At 49.8% G+C, this 20,175-nt stretch overlaps 1 protein-coding gene across 10 annotated transcripts in view, besides 2 other annotated features; it reads right to left on the reverse strand.

Annotated features, from left to right (window-relative positions):
- CREBBP (CREB binding lysine acetyltransferase) overlaps positions 1-20,175 on the reverse strand; it is a 155,660-nt gene that overhangs the window by 5,864 nt on the left and 129,621 nt on the right. For 8 of the 10 annotated variants that reach the window (XM_047433625.1, XM_047433624.1, XM_005255124.5 and 5 more), the window contains 10 exons: positions 18,710-18,766; positions 14,360-14,437; positions 13,977-14,044; positions 9,482-9,632; positions 8,661-8,807; positions 7,642-7,755; positions 5,733-5,898; positions 5,119-5,286; positions 859-1,020; positions 275-556 (listed from right to left, as the gene is read on the reverse strand). In XM_047433625.1, coding sequence (XP_047289581.1) covers positions 275-556; positions 859-1,020; positions 5,119-5,286; positions 5,733-5,898; positions 7,642-7,755; positions 8,661-8,807; positions 9,482-9,632; positions 13,977-14,044; positions 14,360-14,437; positions 18,710-18,766 — 1,393 coding nt within the window. Of the gene's footprint in view, positions 1-274; positions 557-858; positions 1,021-5,118; positions 5,287-5,732; positions 5,899-7,641; positions 7,756-8,660; positions 8,808-9,481; positions 9,633-13,976; positions 14,045-14,359; positions 14,438-14,559; positions 14,679-18,709; positions 18,767-20,175 lie in introns of those variants that run through there. The other 2 variants (XM_006720848.4, XM_011522382.4) reach the window with 2 other exon arrangements.
- Positions 800-960: a silencer, noted in NCBI's record as "fragment chr16:3781718-3781878 (GRCh37/hg19 assembly coordinates)". NCBI's record gives its function as "represses an EF-1alpha promoter that drives an FKBP-Casp9 reporter gene in an ReSE screen in phorbol 12-myristate 13-acetate-treated (for megakaryocytic differentiation) K562 erythroleukemia cells {active_cell/tissue: K562(+PMA)}" and the evidence as "EXISTENCE:reporter gene assay evidence [ECO:0000049][PMID:32094911]".
- Positions 5,841-6,528: an enhancer, noted in NCBI's record as "NANOG-H3K27ac-H3K4me1 hESC enhancer chr16:3786759-3787446 (GRCh37/hg19 assembly coordinates)". NCBI's record gives its function as "activates a minimal SCP1, AML or CMV promoter by ChIP-STARR-seq in naive H9 embryonic stem cells {active_cell/tissue: H9 hESC(naive)}" and the evidence as "EXISTENCE:reporter gene assay evidence [ECO:0000049][PMID:30033119]".

Consider the following 20,175-nt stretch of genomic DNA (forward strand, 5'->3'; position numbering starts at 1 on the left):
CAAGACTAGAACTGGGCACAGACAGGCCAGACTTCCCAGCAGAGCCTCCCTCTGGCCGTCCCCAGGGTCAGGCCTGTGGCTGTGGCTACACAGAGCAGGTTTAGGAAACACACACACAGCAACGCCTTCTGCCTTGTGACGCTGTCCTAGTTCTGGAGGAGTCAGTGCAGCCACCATCAGGTACAGACACCAACCCGGGCACCCATGCAAAGGGACAGGATGCTTCGTCAGACCCCAGGCCGGCTGTGGGGGTGGGGGTGGGGGCAGGGCCTACCTCGCACACAGTGCAGTGCCAGCGCGTCTCCACGTGGTGCTTGCACTCGTTGCAGGTGTAGACAAAGCGGTCCTGGCCCTGGGTGTGCAGCTCCACCAGCATGCAGAGCGTGGACCACTTGGAGCGGCGCAAGGAGGAGAACTCCCAGTGCTTGTCTCTGGCGAGGGTGAGGAAGGCGTCGCGCCCATCCATGAGGTCACAGCTGAGCAGGGGGTCGGGGTCGACGATGGGGGGCAGGGTGTTGATGACAGGCCCAGCGTGCAGGTGGATCACGAAGAAGACCTGCAGGAGAGGAGGGGCTTTAGTCCCACACAAGGGACATGGCACCTCCAGTGGTGAGCTCAGGGCAGGCGCAGCCACCCAGCCTGCAGAATAGGCAGGTGGCTGAGCCTGATGGCCCTGATGCCTTGGGATGGAACAAAATTGGTGACACGTTGCATGATGTCACCCAACTGGTCCACTTGGTTTCCTGGGGGCCACTTCCCTCCCACCACAGACCTGCACACGGGCCCACGCCCGCCAGCTGCGAGTCTTTCCCTCCTCCCGGCCAGAGGCACGGCTGCAGCACCGCAGCCCACGCCTACCTCCTTGTGCTTCTCCATGGTGGCATACAGCTTCTGGGACAGGTCATTGGACACGTTGGGCATGCTGGGCTTCTTCTTGTTGGCGCGGCTGATGCTGCTTTTGTTCTTGTTGGTTTTCTTGTTGTTCTTCTTCTTGGCATTCTTGCTGTCGCCCTGACTGCCCTGCAACAACACGCAAGGCTGTGAGACCAGGCAAGTGCCCCTCCACACTTGGCACGGACGCCCAGCTCCCAGGCCGTGGGCATCAGGAAGCTCAGGCCAAAGTAGGTCACCACCAGGCAGACCCCATACGTGAACGGCTACAGGTGGCTGTAGGTGCTGCAGCCTTCGGGACAGAGCAGGGCCTGTCCTCGGCCAGGCTGGTGTCATTATCAGCTTTATGCCACGCTGCCTCTAAAGGGGAAAAGAGACCCAGAGTGCGAGTTCAGAAATTAACAAATGAGGGCAGTGGGGGCTGTTTCCACTGTGCCACAACCAGATGCGGAAGATTCCACGTCACAACTGTGGTCAGCAGCTGTCTGCCTTGAGGAAGGCTCTACACACCCGAGAAAGCATGAGAGCTTCCAGGAGACAGGAAAGCTGCTGATGGGAAAAGCAGCTGCCCCATCAAGAGCAGGGACTCTGAGGCCCCTGCGGGGTCCACTCAAGGCCCACGGAGAGCAGGCTGGCTCCCTGCTGGGGCCATCAGTGCTGCGCCTGACTGGCTGAAGGTGGGCTTGCTCTCAGCCCACAGGCTCCTCCTCTGGAAAGAACGCAGGATTACCACTCACTTACACTTTAACAGAGAGCTTTATTTTTTTTGAGAGACGGAGTTTTGCTCTTGTTGCCAGGCTGGAGTGCAGTGGTGTCATCTTGGGTTCAAGTGATTCTCCTGCCTCAGCCTCCTGGGTAGCTGGGATTATAGGCACCCGCCACCATGCCCGGCTACCTATCATTTTTTTTGAGACAGAGTCTCGCTCTTGTCACCCAAGCTGAAGTGCAATAACGCGATCTCGGCTCACTGCAACCTCTGCCTCCAAGGTTCAAGCGATTCTCCTGCCTGAACCTCCCTAGTAGCTGAGATTATAGGTGCTGCCACCACACCCAGCTAATTTTTGTATTTTTAGTAGAGATGGGGTTTCACCATGTTGGTCAGGCTGGCCTTGAACTCCGGACCTCGGGTGATCCGCCCGCCTGAGCCTCCCAAAGTGCTGAGATTACAGGCATGAGCCACCGTGCCCAGCCAGAGAGTTTCATTTTTAACAAGATGAGAGAGACTCTTGGTGTTCAAAGAGAGGGGTCAGTCCAGAGAGAATTCAACAATCCAGCCGGGCGGGGTGGCTCACACCTGTAATCCCAGCACTTTGGAAGGCCAAGGCAGGCGGATCTCGAGGTCAGGAAATCAAGACCAACCTGGCTAACACGGTGAAACTCCGTCTCTACTAAAAACACAAAAAATTAGCCAGGCGTGGTGGCGGGTGCCTGCAGTCCCACCTACTCGGGAGGCTGAGGCAGGAGAATGGTGTGAACCCGGGAGGCGGAGCTTGCAGTGAGCTGAGATGGCGCCACTGCACTCCAGCCTGGGCGACAGAGCGAGACTCCATCTCAAAAAAAAAAAAAAAAAATTCCCACCCCACCGACAAGCAGCCCGAGGAGCCCAAATATCACGTGGGTCCTCCGCAGGATTCAGAGACAGAAAAGGGACGTCAGGGGAAAACTGAGGAAATTGGAACGAAGTGTAGACTTAACAATAATGCATCAACATCAACAAATGGCTCACCGTGGCAGCAAATGTGCCACACTAAGGTAAGACATTAGTAACAGGAGAAACTGCGTGCTGCAATATACTGGAACTCTGTGCTCAATTTTTGTGTCAGCCTTAAAACAAAGGAAGCCTATTTTTTTTGAGATGGAGTCTCGCTCTGTCACCAGGCTGGAGTGCAGTGGCACAATCTTGGCTCACTGCAATCTGTGCCTCCCGGGTTCAAGTGATTCTCCTGCCTCAGCCTCCCAAGTAGCTGGGACTACAGGCGTGCGCCACCACACCTGGCTAATTTTTGTATTTTTAGTAGAGACGGGGTTTCACCATGTTGGCCAAGCTGGTCTCAAACTCCTGACCTCAAGTGATCCACCTGCCTTGGCCTCTCAAAGTGCTGGGATTACAGGCGTGAGCCACCACGCCCGGCCTGGAAGTCTATTTTTACAAAATTATAAAATAAATATGTTCATGAAATTAAGAAAATATAGACAAGTAATTTTAAAAAGTTTTGTTTTTCTGGTCTTCCCGAGCAGCAGTGTTCTGTGTTCTGGAGCTTTCCCTGGGCACATTTGTCTCCGTGTTTGCGACATTCCTCACGAAGCTGGGACTGCACACAGGGAGCTGGTTCCGTTTCTCGCCCCACCTGACACTATCGCGAGCCTTTCCCCATTTCCCAGAATTGACAGCATGATGCAGAGCAGAGCTAATAGCAAAGCAGTGCTCCACCCCACGCACCAGCCCTCACTAAGGCTGACCCCCAGAGCGAGCTCCTGGGGTGTTGCTGACGAAGGCATGTCCCTGCCCATTGTTGTCCATGAACCAAACACACAAGGGACAGCAGGTCTACATGCCGACACCTCAGCATCCCGCCTCCTAACACATGCATGTCCCCGGTGCACAGGGAAGGCTGCCCCAGCAGGAGCCCCTATCAGGCCTGTCTTCTGGACAACCCCACTGCTGCCATGCCACAGGCAGGTGCCCCCTCCTGGGGTGGAACTCAGCTGCGCAAAGCCTGTCTCGGACGCGGTAACCTCCCGTGTCACCCTTAGGAGATGGAACTCAAGCATTAACTCACCAGACACCAGTGAGACCAGCTACACTCCAGCGGGAGCAAGTCCGAAGACAACAGGCCAGGAGCTCTGCTTAGGAGCCACCTAGGGCGTAAACCCACGCCACCCCCTGCCCGCGCCTCCTCTGTCCTGCGAATGACACTCTGGGGCGCCGTCCAGCAGGTGGCTGCCTCTCAACCACCTGTGCAGTGAGCACGAGTGTGTGTGGCGGAAGCGGCCCAGGCCCCACGCTCCGCCTACAGCCCATCCGGCACCCACCTCACAGACGTGCTCTCATATGGGACAGGCACCAGAGTGGCAGTATGTCCCCAGCCGGCTCCCGGCTGCCTCACCCATGGCAGCAGCCCACGCAAGAGCCACCTCCATTCACCGCTTTTCCTCACTGGTCACAATCGCCTGTCCCAAGTTCTGGGGCTGCAGCCTTCAACGTTCGTCATCGCTCTCCCTGCACCTACAGCTACAGCCCACACCCACGCCACCATCATCTCTTCCCCAGACAGCCGCACAAACCCGCACACAGCGCGCCTCCTCCCACCGCCTGGCGGGTCCTCTTCCAGCACCTTCCTGTGGTGGGCGGGTCTGGCCCACACGCCACCTCCCCAAGGCTCCTTCCCCTTCAGAGCTCTGCCACGCTCAGAGCACACCATGCTTGGGTCTGGGTTCTTTTTGTTTCACATCCTACCAGGACACAGCCACTCCCTTGGGGGCGGAGATGGGGTTTTGTTTGTTCTGAAACGGAGTCTCGCACTGTCTCCTGGGCTGGAGTGCAACGGCGCAATCTAGGCTCACTGCAACCTCCGCCTCCCGGGTTCAAGCGATTCTCCTGCCTCAACCTCCCTCGTAGCTGGGATTACAGGTGCCCCCTCCCACAACCGGCTAAATTTTTGTATTTTTAGTAGAGATGGGGTTTCACTGTGTTAGCCAGGCTGGTCTCCCTTTCCTGACCTTGTGATCCGCCTGCCTCGGCCTCCCAAAGTGCGGGGTTACAGGTGTGAGCCACCGCGCCTGGCCAGGGATGGGGTTTTGTTTGGCTCAGTCTGCACTGCCTGGCACTCAGGGGCAGCGCCAAGGAGAGAGGGCAGCAGGGCATGAGCATCATGTGCAGAGTGGCCACCAAACACGGAATAAGGCCTGGCAACCCTGTGCCTCCTCGACTCACTTTTTACATCAGCGGGTTGTGTCCTGACTGCCCCATGTCCCATTTTCTGTCTTCCTCTCTTCCCTCTCCGAGTCTAAGTGGACCCCCAGCTCCCCAGAGCATCCACTGTGCAGAGAGTGCAGAGCCCACACTGCTGCCCACCAACGCCCTGTGCTGCAGGTGGTGTCGACGTGCATGTGTGAACGGAGACACCACCACAGGAAGGACCTAACAGTCGACACGCGCCTCCCAGCCTGCCACCCTGCAGCTCCAGCGGGACACGTGGGCAATGGAGCTCAGAGAAGGGTCTGTACCTCAGTGGTTTCACTGGCTGCAGTGCTCTCTTCCTTTTTCCTCTCCTCTTCTTCTTGTTCTAGTTCCTTAATGCTCTCTTCTAACACATTGGGCCAGAAATCACCTTCAAAATAGGGCAGTTCCTTGGCACTGGTGAGCCTGTCTTCAGTTGCTTGTTTGAAAATATCCTGAGTGGGCAAAGCACAACAGTGAGATGAGGGCCATGCACGCGTGCCCCCCACCATGGTGCGACAGACCCCCACGCAAGCGTGCCCCTCACCATGGTGTGGCAGAGTCCCATGCATGTGTGCCCCCCCACCACAGTGCAGCAGACCCCCACACATGTGCACCCCCCACCACAGTGCTGGAGCCCCTATGTGTGCAACAGTGATGCACAGGCCCCAATGCCCACTGATGGAAACAGCTCCAACTGTGCTGCTCTCAGACGGCCAGGGGAAAGCCTCAATCAGCTGAAGAAAATGCTTCTAAGTTCTCACTTTAGGCTTTTATTTTTCTGCTTTCTAATCCTCATAAGTGAAGGTAATTAACAAGTATGCGAATGCAAGAAAAAGGCACACAAATATCCTCCCCTCAGTTGTGACAAAAGCCACCACCTTCCTTCAGCGCCGGGTACCTTGTAGTCATGGATGATCCGCTCTGCAAACGCCTTGTCCAGCATCTTTTTGTACCACTCCTGCAGTCGTTTTGGCTTGGGTATTTTTTGATCAGGTGGGTGGCAATGGAAGATGTAATCATCTCCTTCACTTGGAGGACAGGCCCAGATGTGCCCTGTCACATACCTGCAGGACCCACGCACACACGTCAGATGAACGTGCCAGTGAAATCGGCCCTGCCTTTAAGGAGTTATAGCAGAGGAGCAAGGACTAAAGCCAGGACAGAAGTAACCAGAGAGAGAGAATGAATGCCCACAAAGCTGGGTGTGGTGGGGGCAAGGCTCGAACTTTATCCTGAGCAAATGCAAGCCTGCAAATTAGCCCTGCAACACTTCTCCCTTGGGGTGCACACACAGGGCAGGGCCGAGGCTGCAAAAGAAACCTGAGGCCTCATTAAAGAACCAGGGAATATGATGGCTCATCAAGGCAATGCCATCCCCTTCCTCCTGTGCACTGTAAAGGCAGTTCGGTTGACTATTTTTCTCCAAGGGTCAATGTCAACATAAACCTCATTCATTCTGTTCAAGACACTTTGATCAAATGCCCCTATCCTTTTCAAGTTTCAGAAGGGAATGGGGCAGGTCTAGAGTACAGAAACCAAGGGCTAGAGAAGGAAGCCAGACCCAAGACAGCATACGCTGCAGGGTTCCGTTTACACAAAGGATTCACAAAAGACAAATTCAGAGAGACAAAGTAGATTAGTGGTCGCCTGGGGCAGGGAAGGTTTAACAGCAAGGGGCAGGAGGAACATTTTTTTTCTTTTTTCTTTTTTTTTTTTTGCGGGCGGGGGGCAGAGTTTCATTGTTGTTGCCCAGGGTGGAGTGCAATGGCATGATCTCGACTCAGCGCATCCTCTGTCTCCCTGGTTCGAGTGGCTCTCCTGCCCCCACCTCCTGAGGAGCTGGGATTACGCTAGGCACCCGCCACCACGCCTGGCTCATTTTTTGTATTTTTAGTACAGACAGGGTTTCACCATGTTGGTCAGGCTGGTCTTGAACTCCTGATCTCAGGTGATCCACCTGCCTTGGCCTCCCAAAGTACTAGGATTACAGACTAGGTGAGCCAATTTTTTTTTGTATTTTTCTTTTTTTCTTTTCTTTCTTTTTTCTTTTTTTGAGATGGAGTCTTGCTCTGTCGCCCAGGCTGGAGTGCAGTGGCACAATCTCAGCTCACTGCAACCCCCCGCCTCCTGGATTCAAGGAATTCTCCTGCCTCAGCCTCTTGAGTAGCTGGGATTACAGGCTCATGCTACTATGCCCGGCTAACTTTTGTATTTTTAGTAGAGACAGGGTTTCACCATGTTGGTCAGGCTGGTCTCAAACTCCTGACCTTGTGATCCGCCCGCCTCGGCCTCCCAAAGTGCTGAGATTACAGGTGTGAGCCACCGCGCCCGGCCTTTTTTTTAATTTTTAGTAGAGATGGGGTTTCACCATGTTGGTCAGGCTGGTCTTGAACTCCTGACTTCAGGTGATCCACCGCAGCAGGAGGGATCTTATAGGTCAATAACAATGTTCTGAAACTGACTTGTGATAGTTGCACTAATGGGTAAAGTTACTAAAAACCACTGAATCATATATCCAAAAAAGGGGAATTCTATGATATGTAAACTTTGCCTCAATAAAGTTAAAAAAAAAAAAAAAGGGAATGAAAAGGAAGTAAAGGTAGGGAAAGAGCTTGCTACGTGCCCAGGAGCCAGACCTGTGAGGCTCGGGGAGCACCTGGAAAGAGGAGCTTTGGAGATTCTGAATTGATCTTAGGATGGAAAAATAAAAACGCATAAAACTTAAAATACCCATTATTTCACGGAATAAACATACAGTAAAAAATAAAGGGTTCTTACTAGTTCCAAATAATTTAATCCAAACTCACCCTAATTTCTTCACATACTCTAAATATCCAATAAGGATCTCATGGTAAACGGCTGTGCGGAGGCAACGTGGCCGGAAGAAATGAATACTATCCAGATAAGAAATGTACACACGCCTGTGGGAAGGAGGCACATGTTTAACTCAGGGTATCCCTCAAATCTGAAATCAAACACAAGCAACAAACAACACCCTGGAAGTTTACTTTTTAGACAGGGTCTTGCTCTGTCATTCAGGCTGCAATGCGGTGACGCGGTCACAGCTCACTGCAACCTCAACCTCATGGGCTCAAGCAATCCTCCTGCCTCAGACTCCCACATAGTTAGGATGACAAGGCATGTACCATCATGCCCAGATAATTTATTTTTTGTAGAGCTAGGGTCTCACTTTGTTGTTCAGACTTGTCTCAGACTCCTGTGGTCCAGTTATCCTCCCACCTCGGCCTCCCACAGTGCTGTGATTGGCCAGTTTTTCTTTTGATGGTATTTACACTGGCCACCAAACAGGATGTGATAAACAAACAAACAAACCAAAACCCAAAAACCAACCAGTCACCAACCCTGCTGCCAATCAGTTAAATGGAATTCAGTTTTCGTCACTGAACAAAAGGATGAATGGCACCACTCGGCACAGAGAGCCACAGTTAAGGCAAACTGAGAAAAGCCACTTTTAGTTCCTTCTTGCCCAGATTCCTGACTGCACATGAAGCCCTCGTGGCAGAGCTACTTCCTCTGTTCAGGTGCCAGGCTGTCCCATCCCAACTCCCCAGGTTTACCTGCGTTAGGTAAGAGCGGGTCCCACACAGACTCGCCACACAAAACACGCTCACTGCAGTCATCTCAACAGTTCATTTCCCGCTAGTTTAATGGAAAACAAAACTAACTACTTTGGTTAGTTAATTGTGGTTTCATTTACTTTAATCCCCTATGAAGGCTCACAGGCTCCTCTGGGACACTTAAGAGCCCTGGTCTATCCTAACACGGCTCACTGAATGACACGCCCTGGAAGGAGCTGGAAAACTACCTCGTGTTTGGAGGGGGGCAATCAGAGCCGTATTCTTGGACGTGCATTCCAAAAAAGCAGACATCCACGCCGTCAATTTCCTCAAAAGCAAACAGAGCTTTGGTTCGATATGGGAAAGATTCAGACATTTCCCCAGAATCCACAAACCTGAAACAAAAGCCAGAGCCGGACATTTACAAAGGCTGTTGCTGACAAGGTGCTTCTGCACACCAGGCCTGCTCCTCTAACTCTGGCCACTGCAGATGAGCGGAGGCATGGCCACCTCCTCAGACCGTGGCCTGGAGTCCTCCCTATGGGCCAGTCAGCCCCGGAGCAGGGAGCACTTGCTTTCTGACCAGTTTCCCTCACTAGGGAACTGCACCTCTGTGAATGAAATACGGGATTCTGAGGAGGACTGGCTATACAGCAGTCCCCCTTATCCACGGGGTGTATGTTCCAAGACCAGCAGTGGATGCTGGAAACCATGGACAGTATCAACCTCTATGCGTTTTTTCTTATACACCTGTACTGGTCACAAAATTTTAATTTATAAATTAGGCACAGCAAGAGATTAACAAGAATAAGTAATAATAAAATAAGAAAATTATAAACAGTATACTATAATATGGTATGTGGTCTCTCTCTCAAAATAGCTTACTGCACTGTATAGGGTAACTAAAACCCCAGACAGGACAACCGCAGCTGAGGGGGCTACTGCACGCATTCGCTGCTGCAAAGTCTTGGAAGGATGACCTCAAACTCAAGAGCTTTGCAGAGAGCAGGCTCTGGCAAGCGGGCGTGGGGACTGCTCGCAGAGCACTGTAGAGAGCAGGCACACTGACCGTGACTTCATCCCGGGCTTGACCTCCACCGTCTTGTCTGAGCTGGCCACCACTCGGACAAAAACCTCCCCGGCTTCAGGGTGATTCTGGCGCCGCAAAAATTTGTTCACTCGGTCTTCCAAGTGGTTTCCCAGTCTTGTGGTCTGCAGCCCTAGGAAGTCCAGAAGGAGCAGGTGAGAGGGCTTCAACAGCACTGCTGAGACAGTGACTGAGACTAGAGAATCCACCCCACTTTGCAGCACAGGCTGATATTTTAAAGGACTAATGTTCTCCAAACACGGAAGAAATCTAATCTGTCCTGTGACACGAGTGTTATATAAAGGAAAGGTGGACTCTGGGATCTCAGGCACTCCACTCCTGAAAACCGTTTACGTGCCCAGGTAACCTGCATCTTTTTCTAACAGTATGGGGCAGAAGACCTATAGCGGTGGGTCCAAAATTGACAGGGGCTCTAGGGCGGAGCAGATGGATGTTTCCCTGTTGCTTCCCGCTTTCCCTGGAGGGCAGAGATGGCACACCCTCAGTGGGCTCCTCCTGCCCAGCTCTGAGGAGAAAGTCCCTACTATGGAGTCTGACGTGAACGTGGAACGTTCTAGGGCTAACCAATTAAGCTCTGGCCAGAGCCTGTCCGGTGCCTCAGGAGCTGGCAAAGTATTGGTGTCCAAGCCTGCCCTGAGCCATCGCCTCGTGCGGTGCACGAATGAAGTTTCCGAGCCTTGGCGAGGGCAGCCTTTCCTGGGCTCACCTCCCCGCCGCCACCCCTCCTCACCCAGGGCCAGCCCCGGGAGGGCTACCGTCACAGGAGCTAGCCAGAGGCAGGACATTACTTCAGGACAGAGAACGCCTCATATACAGGTTAAAAAACTATAAGGGAAAGTTGCAAAAGGTTCTTAGTGATTACGTATAGACAATGAGATTTTAAAAGATGTTTTCTTCTTTGCTGGCTTTTAAATATTTCCTACATTAGTGAGAAATAGGAAAATTGGGAATTTTCGAAGATTCCTTAGCGAGCTAGAAAATTTAGACCAAACTTCTAAATTTCATTTTTCTGCAATAAACAAACCAGTGGTGCTGATTTTTGGATAAGTTGTACCTGAATAAAAATGATTTAAAAAGAAAAATGTGGCCGGGCACAATGGCTCATGCCTGTAATCCCAGCACTTTGGGAGGCCGAGGCAGGTGGATCACCTGAGGTCAGGAGTTCAAGACCAGCCTGACCAAAACGGAGAAACCCCATCTCTACTAAAAATACAAAATTAAGCTGAGCGCAGTGACTCACACCTGTAATCCCAGCTCTTTGGGAGGCTGAGGCGAGTGGATCACCTGAGGTCAGGAGTTCGAGACCAGCCTGGCCAACATGGTGAAACCCCCGTCTCCACTAAGAATGCAAAATTAAGTCGGGAGCGATGGCTCATGCCTGTAATTCCAGCATTTTGGGAGGCCGAGGCAGGCGGATCACGAGGTCAGGCGATCGGGACCATCCTGGCTAACACGGTGAAACCCCATCTCTACTAAAAAACAGAAAAAATTAGGACTACAGGCATGGTGGCGGGCGCCTGTAGTCCCAGCTACTCGGGAGGCTGAGGCAGGCGAATGGCGTGAACCCGGGAGGCAAGAGCTTGCAGTGAGCCGACATCACGTGACTGCACTCCAGTGTGGGCGACAGAGCGAGACTCTGTCTGCACAAACAAAACAAAACAAAAAAAAAACAAAAAAACCCCCCAAAAAAACAAACAAAAAAAACTCTTCCAGAGTAACTTCGCTATTTGACACCTGTGATCCACACATGGCTGCATACTCCAGAGGTGGTCTCAGACAGCACAGGGGTCTAGGCGCAGGCCGTGCTCACTGCGGTGCACTCTGCGCAACCTTCCTCACAGTGCTGCCTCCTTTTCTGTTATCACTCGATTTGGCCACTGTTCCTACTTTTTCATCACTCCTTGCCATTGCTGCAGTTATGTCCTTGTATGTGCCGTTATGCATATGTGCAAATATTTTTATAGGATACATGTGTGAAAGTAGACTTGCTAAATCTAAAAATGAACACTTTAAATTGTGCCCCTCGCTTTCTGGCATTCAACTTGTATCTTCATCCATGGCGCATGACAGGGGCCTTTTGTGCCTTTTCCTTTCTCATCTCTGGGCTGTATCTTTTTAAGGAAGGCTTTTCATAACTCAACACAATAAAATTATTATCTTACTTTTATCCTGAATGCATCTGCAGTTTTGTTTACTTTTCTCGCTTTTTAATCTACCTGAATTTGGTTTTGCATATGGTGTATGCGAAGGAGATGGTTTTCAATGCAAGATTAAGGAAGCATACCTTTACTCTGTGATCAGACACCACAACGCCTGTGCTGACACACGCTCACACTGAGAGTAGAGCTACCTCTAGTCTCCTAGGCCCTTTTCTCCAGTAATGTTCCATTTCTAGATCTTGGGCTCATCTACCGAATGCCCACGGGTCTTTCTGGATGCTGCGGTGGGAGGGGGCTGGACCTGCTCTGGGGCCACTTGTGCCATTCCGCCCAGTCACCTCCTGCCCCTTTCAGGCAATGACTGTTCTACGGAGGCCTAGTTCTCTGGGTAATTCTGTTTTGGCTACTGAGCCTCTGGCCCAGGGAAGAACTTCCAATTTGCTCAAATGCATTAGCGAACTCACTCAGAGTGAATCCTCTGAAGCAGGGCCTCTCAAATGGAGGCAACTGTGCCCCTCCAGGGGACATCTGGCAATGTCTGGAGACATTTCTGACAGACGTAATGAATTGCTGAGGAAGGTGTTACTGGCACTGAGTGGGCAGAGGCCAGGCATGCTGCTAAAATCCTGTAATGCGCAGGACAGCCCCTAAAACAGAGGGTTACCTGGCCTGAAATGTCAACAGTGCCTCAGTTGAGAAACCGAGCTAAGGAAAAGTATTACAATAGTTTATCAATGAGTGATATTTCACAAGTTTTTAACAGAGGCAGTGTAAGCTATTGCATAACTTTGGATGTTGGTTAACAACAGAGTTTGAACTTGAATTAAGACTCAGTCTCAAGTCTACAGGGTGGCTTCCTCCTCCCCTTCCCCCAGTGCATGGTCCATCCTAGCATTTCCATCTCTCTTCTACTCTGAGCTCCCCAAATGACCCTGGTTCTATTGGGGATCTCCTGAGCAACATGCTAGTCACCTGTCCTGCCAGAGAAAGGTGACAGCTGTAGGGAGCAGCTGGCAAGTCAATGTTAGAACACTGCTGCAGTTGCCGTTCTTGTGTGGGTTTGCTGGTTAACTCGGCAAAAGGCCAGCCTGGCGCGTCAAGCTGCAGAAGGCCATCCCAAGACTTGAGAATTGACTCTATAAAGATTAAATAACCATAAACTTTTGATAACAATGCAATGTGGTCTTAAAAAAAAAAGTCAGCCGGGCGCGGTGGCTAATGGCTGTAATCCCAGCACTTTGGGAGGCCGAGGCGGGCGGATCACAAGGTCAAGAGATTGAGACCGTCCTGGCCAACATGGTGAAACCCGTCTCTACTAAAAATACAAAAATTAGCTGGGCAAGGTGGCGGGCGCCTGTAGTCCCAGCTACTCGGGAGGCTGAGGCAGGAGAATCGCTTGAACCCAGGAGGTGGAGGTTGCAGTGAGCTGAGATTGCACCACTGCACTCCAGCCTGGCGACAGAGCGAGAATGTCTCAAATTAAAAAAAAAAGAAAGTCTACTCATGCAAAGTTACTTCTAGCAGTAACAGGTTGTTCCTTCTATTTCTGCACAGGCACCACCAGCTGCAGTAACATGTCCAGCCAAGTCCACATGCAGGCCAGGCTCCTACCGCTCCTGGGGTGGTGGCTGGTTCCCAGAGGCCATGGCTCATACCCCACTGTAGCAGAAGCCAGCACCCACGGGACAGACCCACGGCAGCCCACATAGGGCCCAGGGTTAGAGAGTGCTGGCCAACATTACACCACACATGCACGCACGAGGGGTGAGGGGTCTTAGGTCTAAACCACTTGAGAATAATCTGTTGATAAATTTTCTCAGAATTTACAAAGTTTACTGCACATCTAACCTTTCATCTAAAACATGCGCTGATCATAAATGCTGACTTTCATATAACAATCAGGCCAAATATTCCCTTTAAGGGTGGACTGAGATGTTTTACACTTGATGAAGATCCACAGCCCAAGGCTGCGAGTCCTGCTCTGAGCTCTGTGCTCAGCAGCCCCGTGGCTGAGATGACCATTCTGAGAAGCACAGACTTCAGGGACTCACAGCTGTGCTGCCTATTCTCAGTGAAGCCCCTGAAGAACATTCTTGCATTCTTACCCTCATGACTGGCCTGGCTCTCCTTAAGGATGAGACAAGAAAAATACAAAGTACTGGGGAAAAAACTAACGAAAATCTTTGACAACCGAACCTCAGAACCATGTGTTGAGAGGAACCAAAGAACAATGGGGACAATTTCTACAAGTTTCTAAAATGTGCAGTCCAGGAAACAGAAAGCTTCCCGAAACTTACTCTTAGCACTGAATTTGTTTTCTTTTCGAGGTCTGCCAGTTTTCTTCAAGCAGTTGTCGCACACAAAACTGCAAAATAATAGTGGTATGATGAGACTGTATATAATGATGTAAATTGTCAAACCAACAAAATGCAGCATTCAGATAGTTTGTTGGCAGTTTAAATCACATTATTATAAAATTAAAGAGTGAAGAGGCAGACTGCTTTGATTCCACAATTCCTAAAGCGGACAAACGCTTAGAACTTAAATTTAGAACCAACTGCCATCTCTCTTAATCGCTGAATTCTTGCTGACAACAATGAATGAGATGCAGTAGCCACTGCAACTGCCCCGCCACTGGCTCTGTGCAGAACTGCCCTCCAGGCCAGGGGAAACAACTCACCCTGAAGGCCAAATGATGTCATAGTGCAGAACGCAAATCTGATGCATCTTCCGGCCACACTCCTTGCAATCAACGAAACTAGGAGGCAAAGAAGGCGCACTGTTAAAGCACACGGAACCACAAGACCAGAGTCACTTGTAGAAGTCTGTGTGTGCGTCCACACCTTGTTCTCTGGGTTACTTTGAGTAGTGCTGACATTAATGCGTGTGTTGGCTGATTCAGCTATATTTTACAATGCATCCGTATGATATCTTCTACAGGAAAAAGCTTTCTTCTTTTGTTTGTACAAGCGCTTCATTCCTCTTTTCTCCCAATCTCCCTTTGCAACCAGAAAGGAAACTTTACTTTTTAAAAATTGCTGCGACAAATACATATTTCACAGGCCGGTATTTCTGACACTGCTACACATTTGCAAGAACAATGCCTTCTCTAGGTGATTTCACATGCCAAAACTGACTTAAAAAATAGAGAACAATACTTTGAGTTCTAAACATGTGCTCTTAAGTCTAAAATTGTTGAGGATACTAATGGGAAACACGGCCAGTTCAGAGCAGCCACGCTAGGCGCGAGGCACAAAAACACCAGTTCTGAGTCAGTTACAAAAGGTGGAATGTGTCAGGCCTACTGGCAAGTTGACAAGGGTTTATTCAAGTAAACACTGGTGAAGCGAGAGAATGGACCACCCATTCCCCACGAATCCTCCACACTGTTCTACGGCAGCCCACAACCACGGCCCACCAGGGCTCCGTCACCTCCAGGAACCGCCTCAACCCAGGAATCTTAAATGCCAAGATGACATTTTGAGGTCAAGACCTTGGGTTTTTGTCAGCTCCCTCCCTTGCTGCCACCACAATGCATACCTCCGAGGATAGGCTGAAGGGACTGGTGAGTAATGTGATTCCCTGTGTGCTCCTGAGCTTTGAGCTACAGCTCCTCTAAAGTGTGCCCCTGCCCTCGTCCCCTTAATCTGTCCATTGCACGTGCTATGCAAGCCCTCAGCCATGGGTCTACCCTCATCTGGCTTCTCTGCCCAGTCTGCTGGAGGGAAAGAAAAGACACACACACAGATCTGTGAAAAAAAAAACACACACACACAAATGGCGGCACCCGTTCATGGTCCTATGGCACTCTCTGACAGCCCGGCTCTGTCTGGCTACCTCTCCCTTCCACGTGGCAGCTGCTCTGAATCTGCACTCCTTTCCTCCAGTGCTTATCCTCCACAAGCTCTGTCTTTGACAACTCAGCCACTGAGCTCATCCCCAACGCTAAGAATTTCAAAGGTTGGGGCCAAGAACTTCCTCAATTCCTGTGCCGTCTCCAAAGGTCCCCTGCTCTCAACTCTTCCCTCCCATGTCAGGGGAAAGGAGTGTCCCCCAAAACTACACTGGGGACAGGTGCAGTGGCTCACACCTGTAATCCTAGCATGTGGAGAGGCTGGGGTGGAAGGATTGCTTTACTGGGAGTTTGAGACCAGCCTGGGTAAAATAGGGAGACCCCATTTCTACAAAAAATTTAAAAATTAGCTGGGCATGGTGGTGTGTGCCTGTAGTCCCAGTTACTTAGAAGGCTGAGCTGGGAGGACTGCTTGGGTCTGGGAGGTTGTGGCTGCAGTGAGCTATGACTGCACCACTGCACTCCAGCCTGGGTGACACAGCAAGACCCTGTTTCAAAAACAACAAACAAAATCCAAACAAACAAAACACACTGCATATTCTAGACCCCATGACATCCATTTTGAATTTCCCCCTTTCTCCCACTCCCAATTATTATGGGCCAACTAGATGTCTCCCCTTCCCTCAGTCCCCCAGCAAGCCCCCCTGCCTGGCTCCAAAAGCTCTTGCTTTAATTGGTGTTTCAGTTTCTTGCCTTCTCCTGCTTTGTGTCTCTTAACTAACTTCTCTACTACAGAACAATGTCTTCTCCTCTTCTGTTCAGTTCACCTCATAGACCAAAGATGACCCTCTTACACTAGAACCAGTGCTATTCTTCAAAACCTCCTCAGCACATTATAGGATAAAGTCTAAACGTCAAGAGACAGTGTAATGGCCCTTCATGAAGTTAACCTCTGCCTACCAACCACCCACTCTAGGGGCCTTGTAGTTTTATTGAGCAACCTGTGTTCTTTCATGCCTTTGTTTCTAGAATGCTCTGCAGCTTCAATGTAAATGTCATCTTGTCCAGGAAACCAGGCGCAACTGTGGTGATGCCGCTCTGCCCAAGCAGGGTCCCTTCTGTCTGGGACTCACTTGTACTGTCTCCTGCTGCAGGCTGTGCCATTACCCAGCTGTCTCTCTAGACTACAACCAGCAGGAAGGAGACCCCTTCACTCATCCATGTGTTCCCTCTGCCTGGCACCTACTACTTGAATGTAATATATTTTGAAGTTGAAAAGTAGATATAAATTGGCCGGGCACGGTGGCTCACGCCTGTAATCCCAGCACTTTGGGAGGCCGAGGTGGGTGGATCACGAGGTCAGGAGTTCAAGACCAGCCTGGTCAAGATGGTGAAACCTCGTCTCTACTAAAAATACAGGCTGGGTGCGGTGGCTCACACCTGTAATCCCAGCACCTTGAGAGGCCGAGGCGGGTGGACCACGAGGTCAGGAGATCGAGACCATCCTGGCTAACATGGTGAAACCCCGTCTCTACTAAAAATACAAAAAAATTAGCCAGGTGTGGTGGCACATGCCTGTAATCCCAGCTACTCGGGAGGCTGAGGCAGGAGAATCGCTTGAACCCGGGAGACGGAGGTTGCGGTGAGCTGAGATTGTGCCATTGCACTCCAGCCTGGGCAACAAGAGTGAAACTCCATCTCAAAAATAAAAATAAATACATACATACATACATACATAAGTTAGCTGGGCGTGGTGGCGGGCACCTGTAATCCCAGCCACTTGGGAGGCCAAGGCAGAGAATTGCTTGAATCTGGGAGGCGGAGGCTGCAGTGAGCCGAGATCGCGCCACTGCACTCCAGCCTGGGGGACAGAGCAAGACTTGTCTCAGGGGGAAAAAAAAAAAGGAAAGAAAAGTAGATATAAATAATAATGAAACTATAAAGCCAAGGAGAGAAAGACACAATGTGAAAAGAAAGGTGGAAAGTCAGGAAAAACAATCCGATGGTCATGAGAGGGGTGGGCGCTCTGCCCTGGCATCTCGCCAAGACTACAGCTCTAGGATTTCACATCATCGTCCTGTCTGTGTACCATGTGCTGGTAGAGATGAAGTAACCTGCCAAAAGTCAAGCTAGGTTTCCAGAGGTGGCCTGGGTAGAAATCTGTGCTTGCCACTCTAGCCACTGGCTTCCCTGGAGAGGGTCAGGATAGGGAGAGCAGGGTCTGTTTCTTGCCTTGGCTGAGTCACAGCCCACACTTCCCAAGTAGCCAACGCTCCTGGAGCCTGTGCTCACCCTGGGGACAAAAAATAGCCAGTATCGCCATGCCAATTTGGAGCGCCCTCAGAACTTTACATTGGGGACCTGGGAAGAGGCTACCACACTGAAAAAAATCTGAAGTCTCTTTAGGGGCTGTTATGAAGCAAGGTTAGCAAATGCAGCACTCTCACTCATCACTGTAGAAAAGTGCTTAACAGGGCCGGGCGCGGTGGCTCACGCCTGGAATCCCAGCACTTTGGGAGGCCGAGACAGGCACATCACCTGAGGTCAGGAGATCGAGACCATCCTGGCTAACACAGTGAAACCCCGTCTCTACTAAAAATACAAAAAATTAGCCAGGCGTGGTGGTGGGCGCCTGTAGTCCCAGCTACTCGGGAGGCTGAGGCAGGAGAATGGCGTGAACCCGGGAGGCGGAGCCTGCAGTGAGCCGAGATCGTGCCACTGCACTCCAGCCTCGGGGACAGAGCGAGACTGTCTCAAAAAACAAAACAAAACAAAAACAACAACAAAAAAAGTGCTTAACAATGGCAAGAAAATGTGCCAAGCTTTACATTATTTGAGAAAGCAGTTTCCAAGAGGTTTTCTTTCTGGTATTTCCCTTTAAACGATACTACTAGTACTACCCCACCAAATACTCCTAACCTTTGGTCTCTAAAGATTCATGCTAAATGGCTTCTTAAAGACACCCATGACCAAATTATTAGAGAGGTTCTCATAGAACTAAAACATCCATTTAATCTTATCATTGTTAAAATCCAGTAACTAGAGTACATGTTACAGAGACATACATATTTTGTTTAAGTTTAAAAGAAATCTATATCTAAAAGATAACCTCACACCAGAAATTCCACTTACGGCAACATATTTCCAATGTTTTTACCCACAACCCACTCCATAAGGAGTAACTTTACCGATTTCAAACCAAAACTGAAAGTAAAAAAGAAATAGCTATATACTTACGGTTCGGGGTCTAAGGTATCATTTTTCTTCTTTTCAAACTGATCCTTTGAAATTGTCCTTGTTTTAAAATAAGAAAACATGTTTTATTAACTAAAATTTATCTGTTGAGTATAAACTATAGGGTCTCTGGAATGTTATTTTGTAACTAGTTCTTCAAACAAAAAGACATGATGGCCCCTTAAAATCTCAAGTACATGTAATAACGGAATGAACAGAAAATTTAATTTCGTAGAACACTACAATGTCTTTTTCTACATATTCCACTATCATTTCTTTTCCTTCTGTTTTTTCAGAGACAAGGTCTTGCTCTGTTGCCCAGGCTGGAGTGCAGTGGCGTGACCATGGCTCACTGCAGCCTTAACCTCCTAGGCTCAAGTGATCCTCCTGGGTAGCTGGGACTATAGGCATGCACCACCAGGACTGGCTAATTTTTTGATTTTTTGTGGAGATGAGGGTCTCATTATGTTGCCAAGGCTGAACTCAAACTCACCCCGGTTCTGAGTAGCTGGGACTACAGGTACAAACCACCACGCCCTGTTAAGTTTTTTTAATTTTTTGTAGAGATGGGGTCTCACTATGTTGCTCAGGCAACAATCCAATTATTAATCACACAACTAGACTAAAGAGAATTAGGATGACAAGGGAAATAAATTGAAAATGTAGAATTTCAGTCACTTTGGTTTGTTTGTCTTACAAGTTAGGTTTTTTCTGCATTTGAACAAAGAAAATGGTAGAGCGTAAGTGCCTACACTGCTGGAAGAAGCTCCTGTGGCAAACCCTTCCTTTCTGTTGGGGAAGTCACACTGTGGTAGGGTGGTAGGAATCATGGAAGACTGGGGAACTCAGTCTGACGAAAAGAGGGAACGGCAGACCTGGGCAGATGTGGTGGGTGGCTGGCAGGTTTTTAGTTACTTAAGTATAGAAATGAGTTGATAACACAATTTGTGCATTTGCTTTTTCTTGCCACACAGTGGCCATTCTAACACTCGAAGGTAACTCTGCCGGATAATAAACACTGGAAATACAAGTTTAACCCTGTGCAGGAGTGAACTAACAAAGTCATAGCTGTCCACTTTGGAGCTGGTAAACAACAGGTAAAGCACTAGTGAAGGAAGGAAACACATTTAGACTTTAGGCCAAAAAATGGGGTTGGAGAACACTGGAATCCATTAATCTGGATTAGACTTCAGTAACTGAAAGGATGGAGGTTTAAGTGGAGATAAACTAAATGTAAAGGGCAGGGCATGTACACCAAACTCATTTTTTGCTACTGCCAGTTCTGCAAATGGGGATACCTGGTTTCTCAGGTATAACTGAAAATTTACATGGTCGGGCATGGTGGCCCCAGCACTTTGGAAGGCCAAGGCAGGAGGACTGCTTGAGGCAAGAGTTCAAGACCAGCCTGGGTAACAACAGTGAGACCCCATTTCAAAAAAAAAATTAAAATAAAGAAAATTTCTAATTCC

Source organism: Homo sapiens, chromosome 16, assembly GCF_000001405.40.
Source record: "Homo sapiens chromosome 16, GRCh38.p14 Primary Assembly".
NCBI lineage: Eukaryota > Metazoa > Chordata > Mammalia > Primates > Hominidae > Homo > Homo sapiens.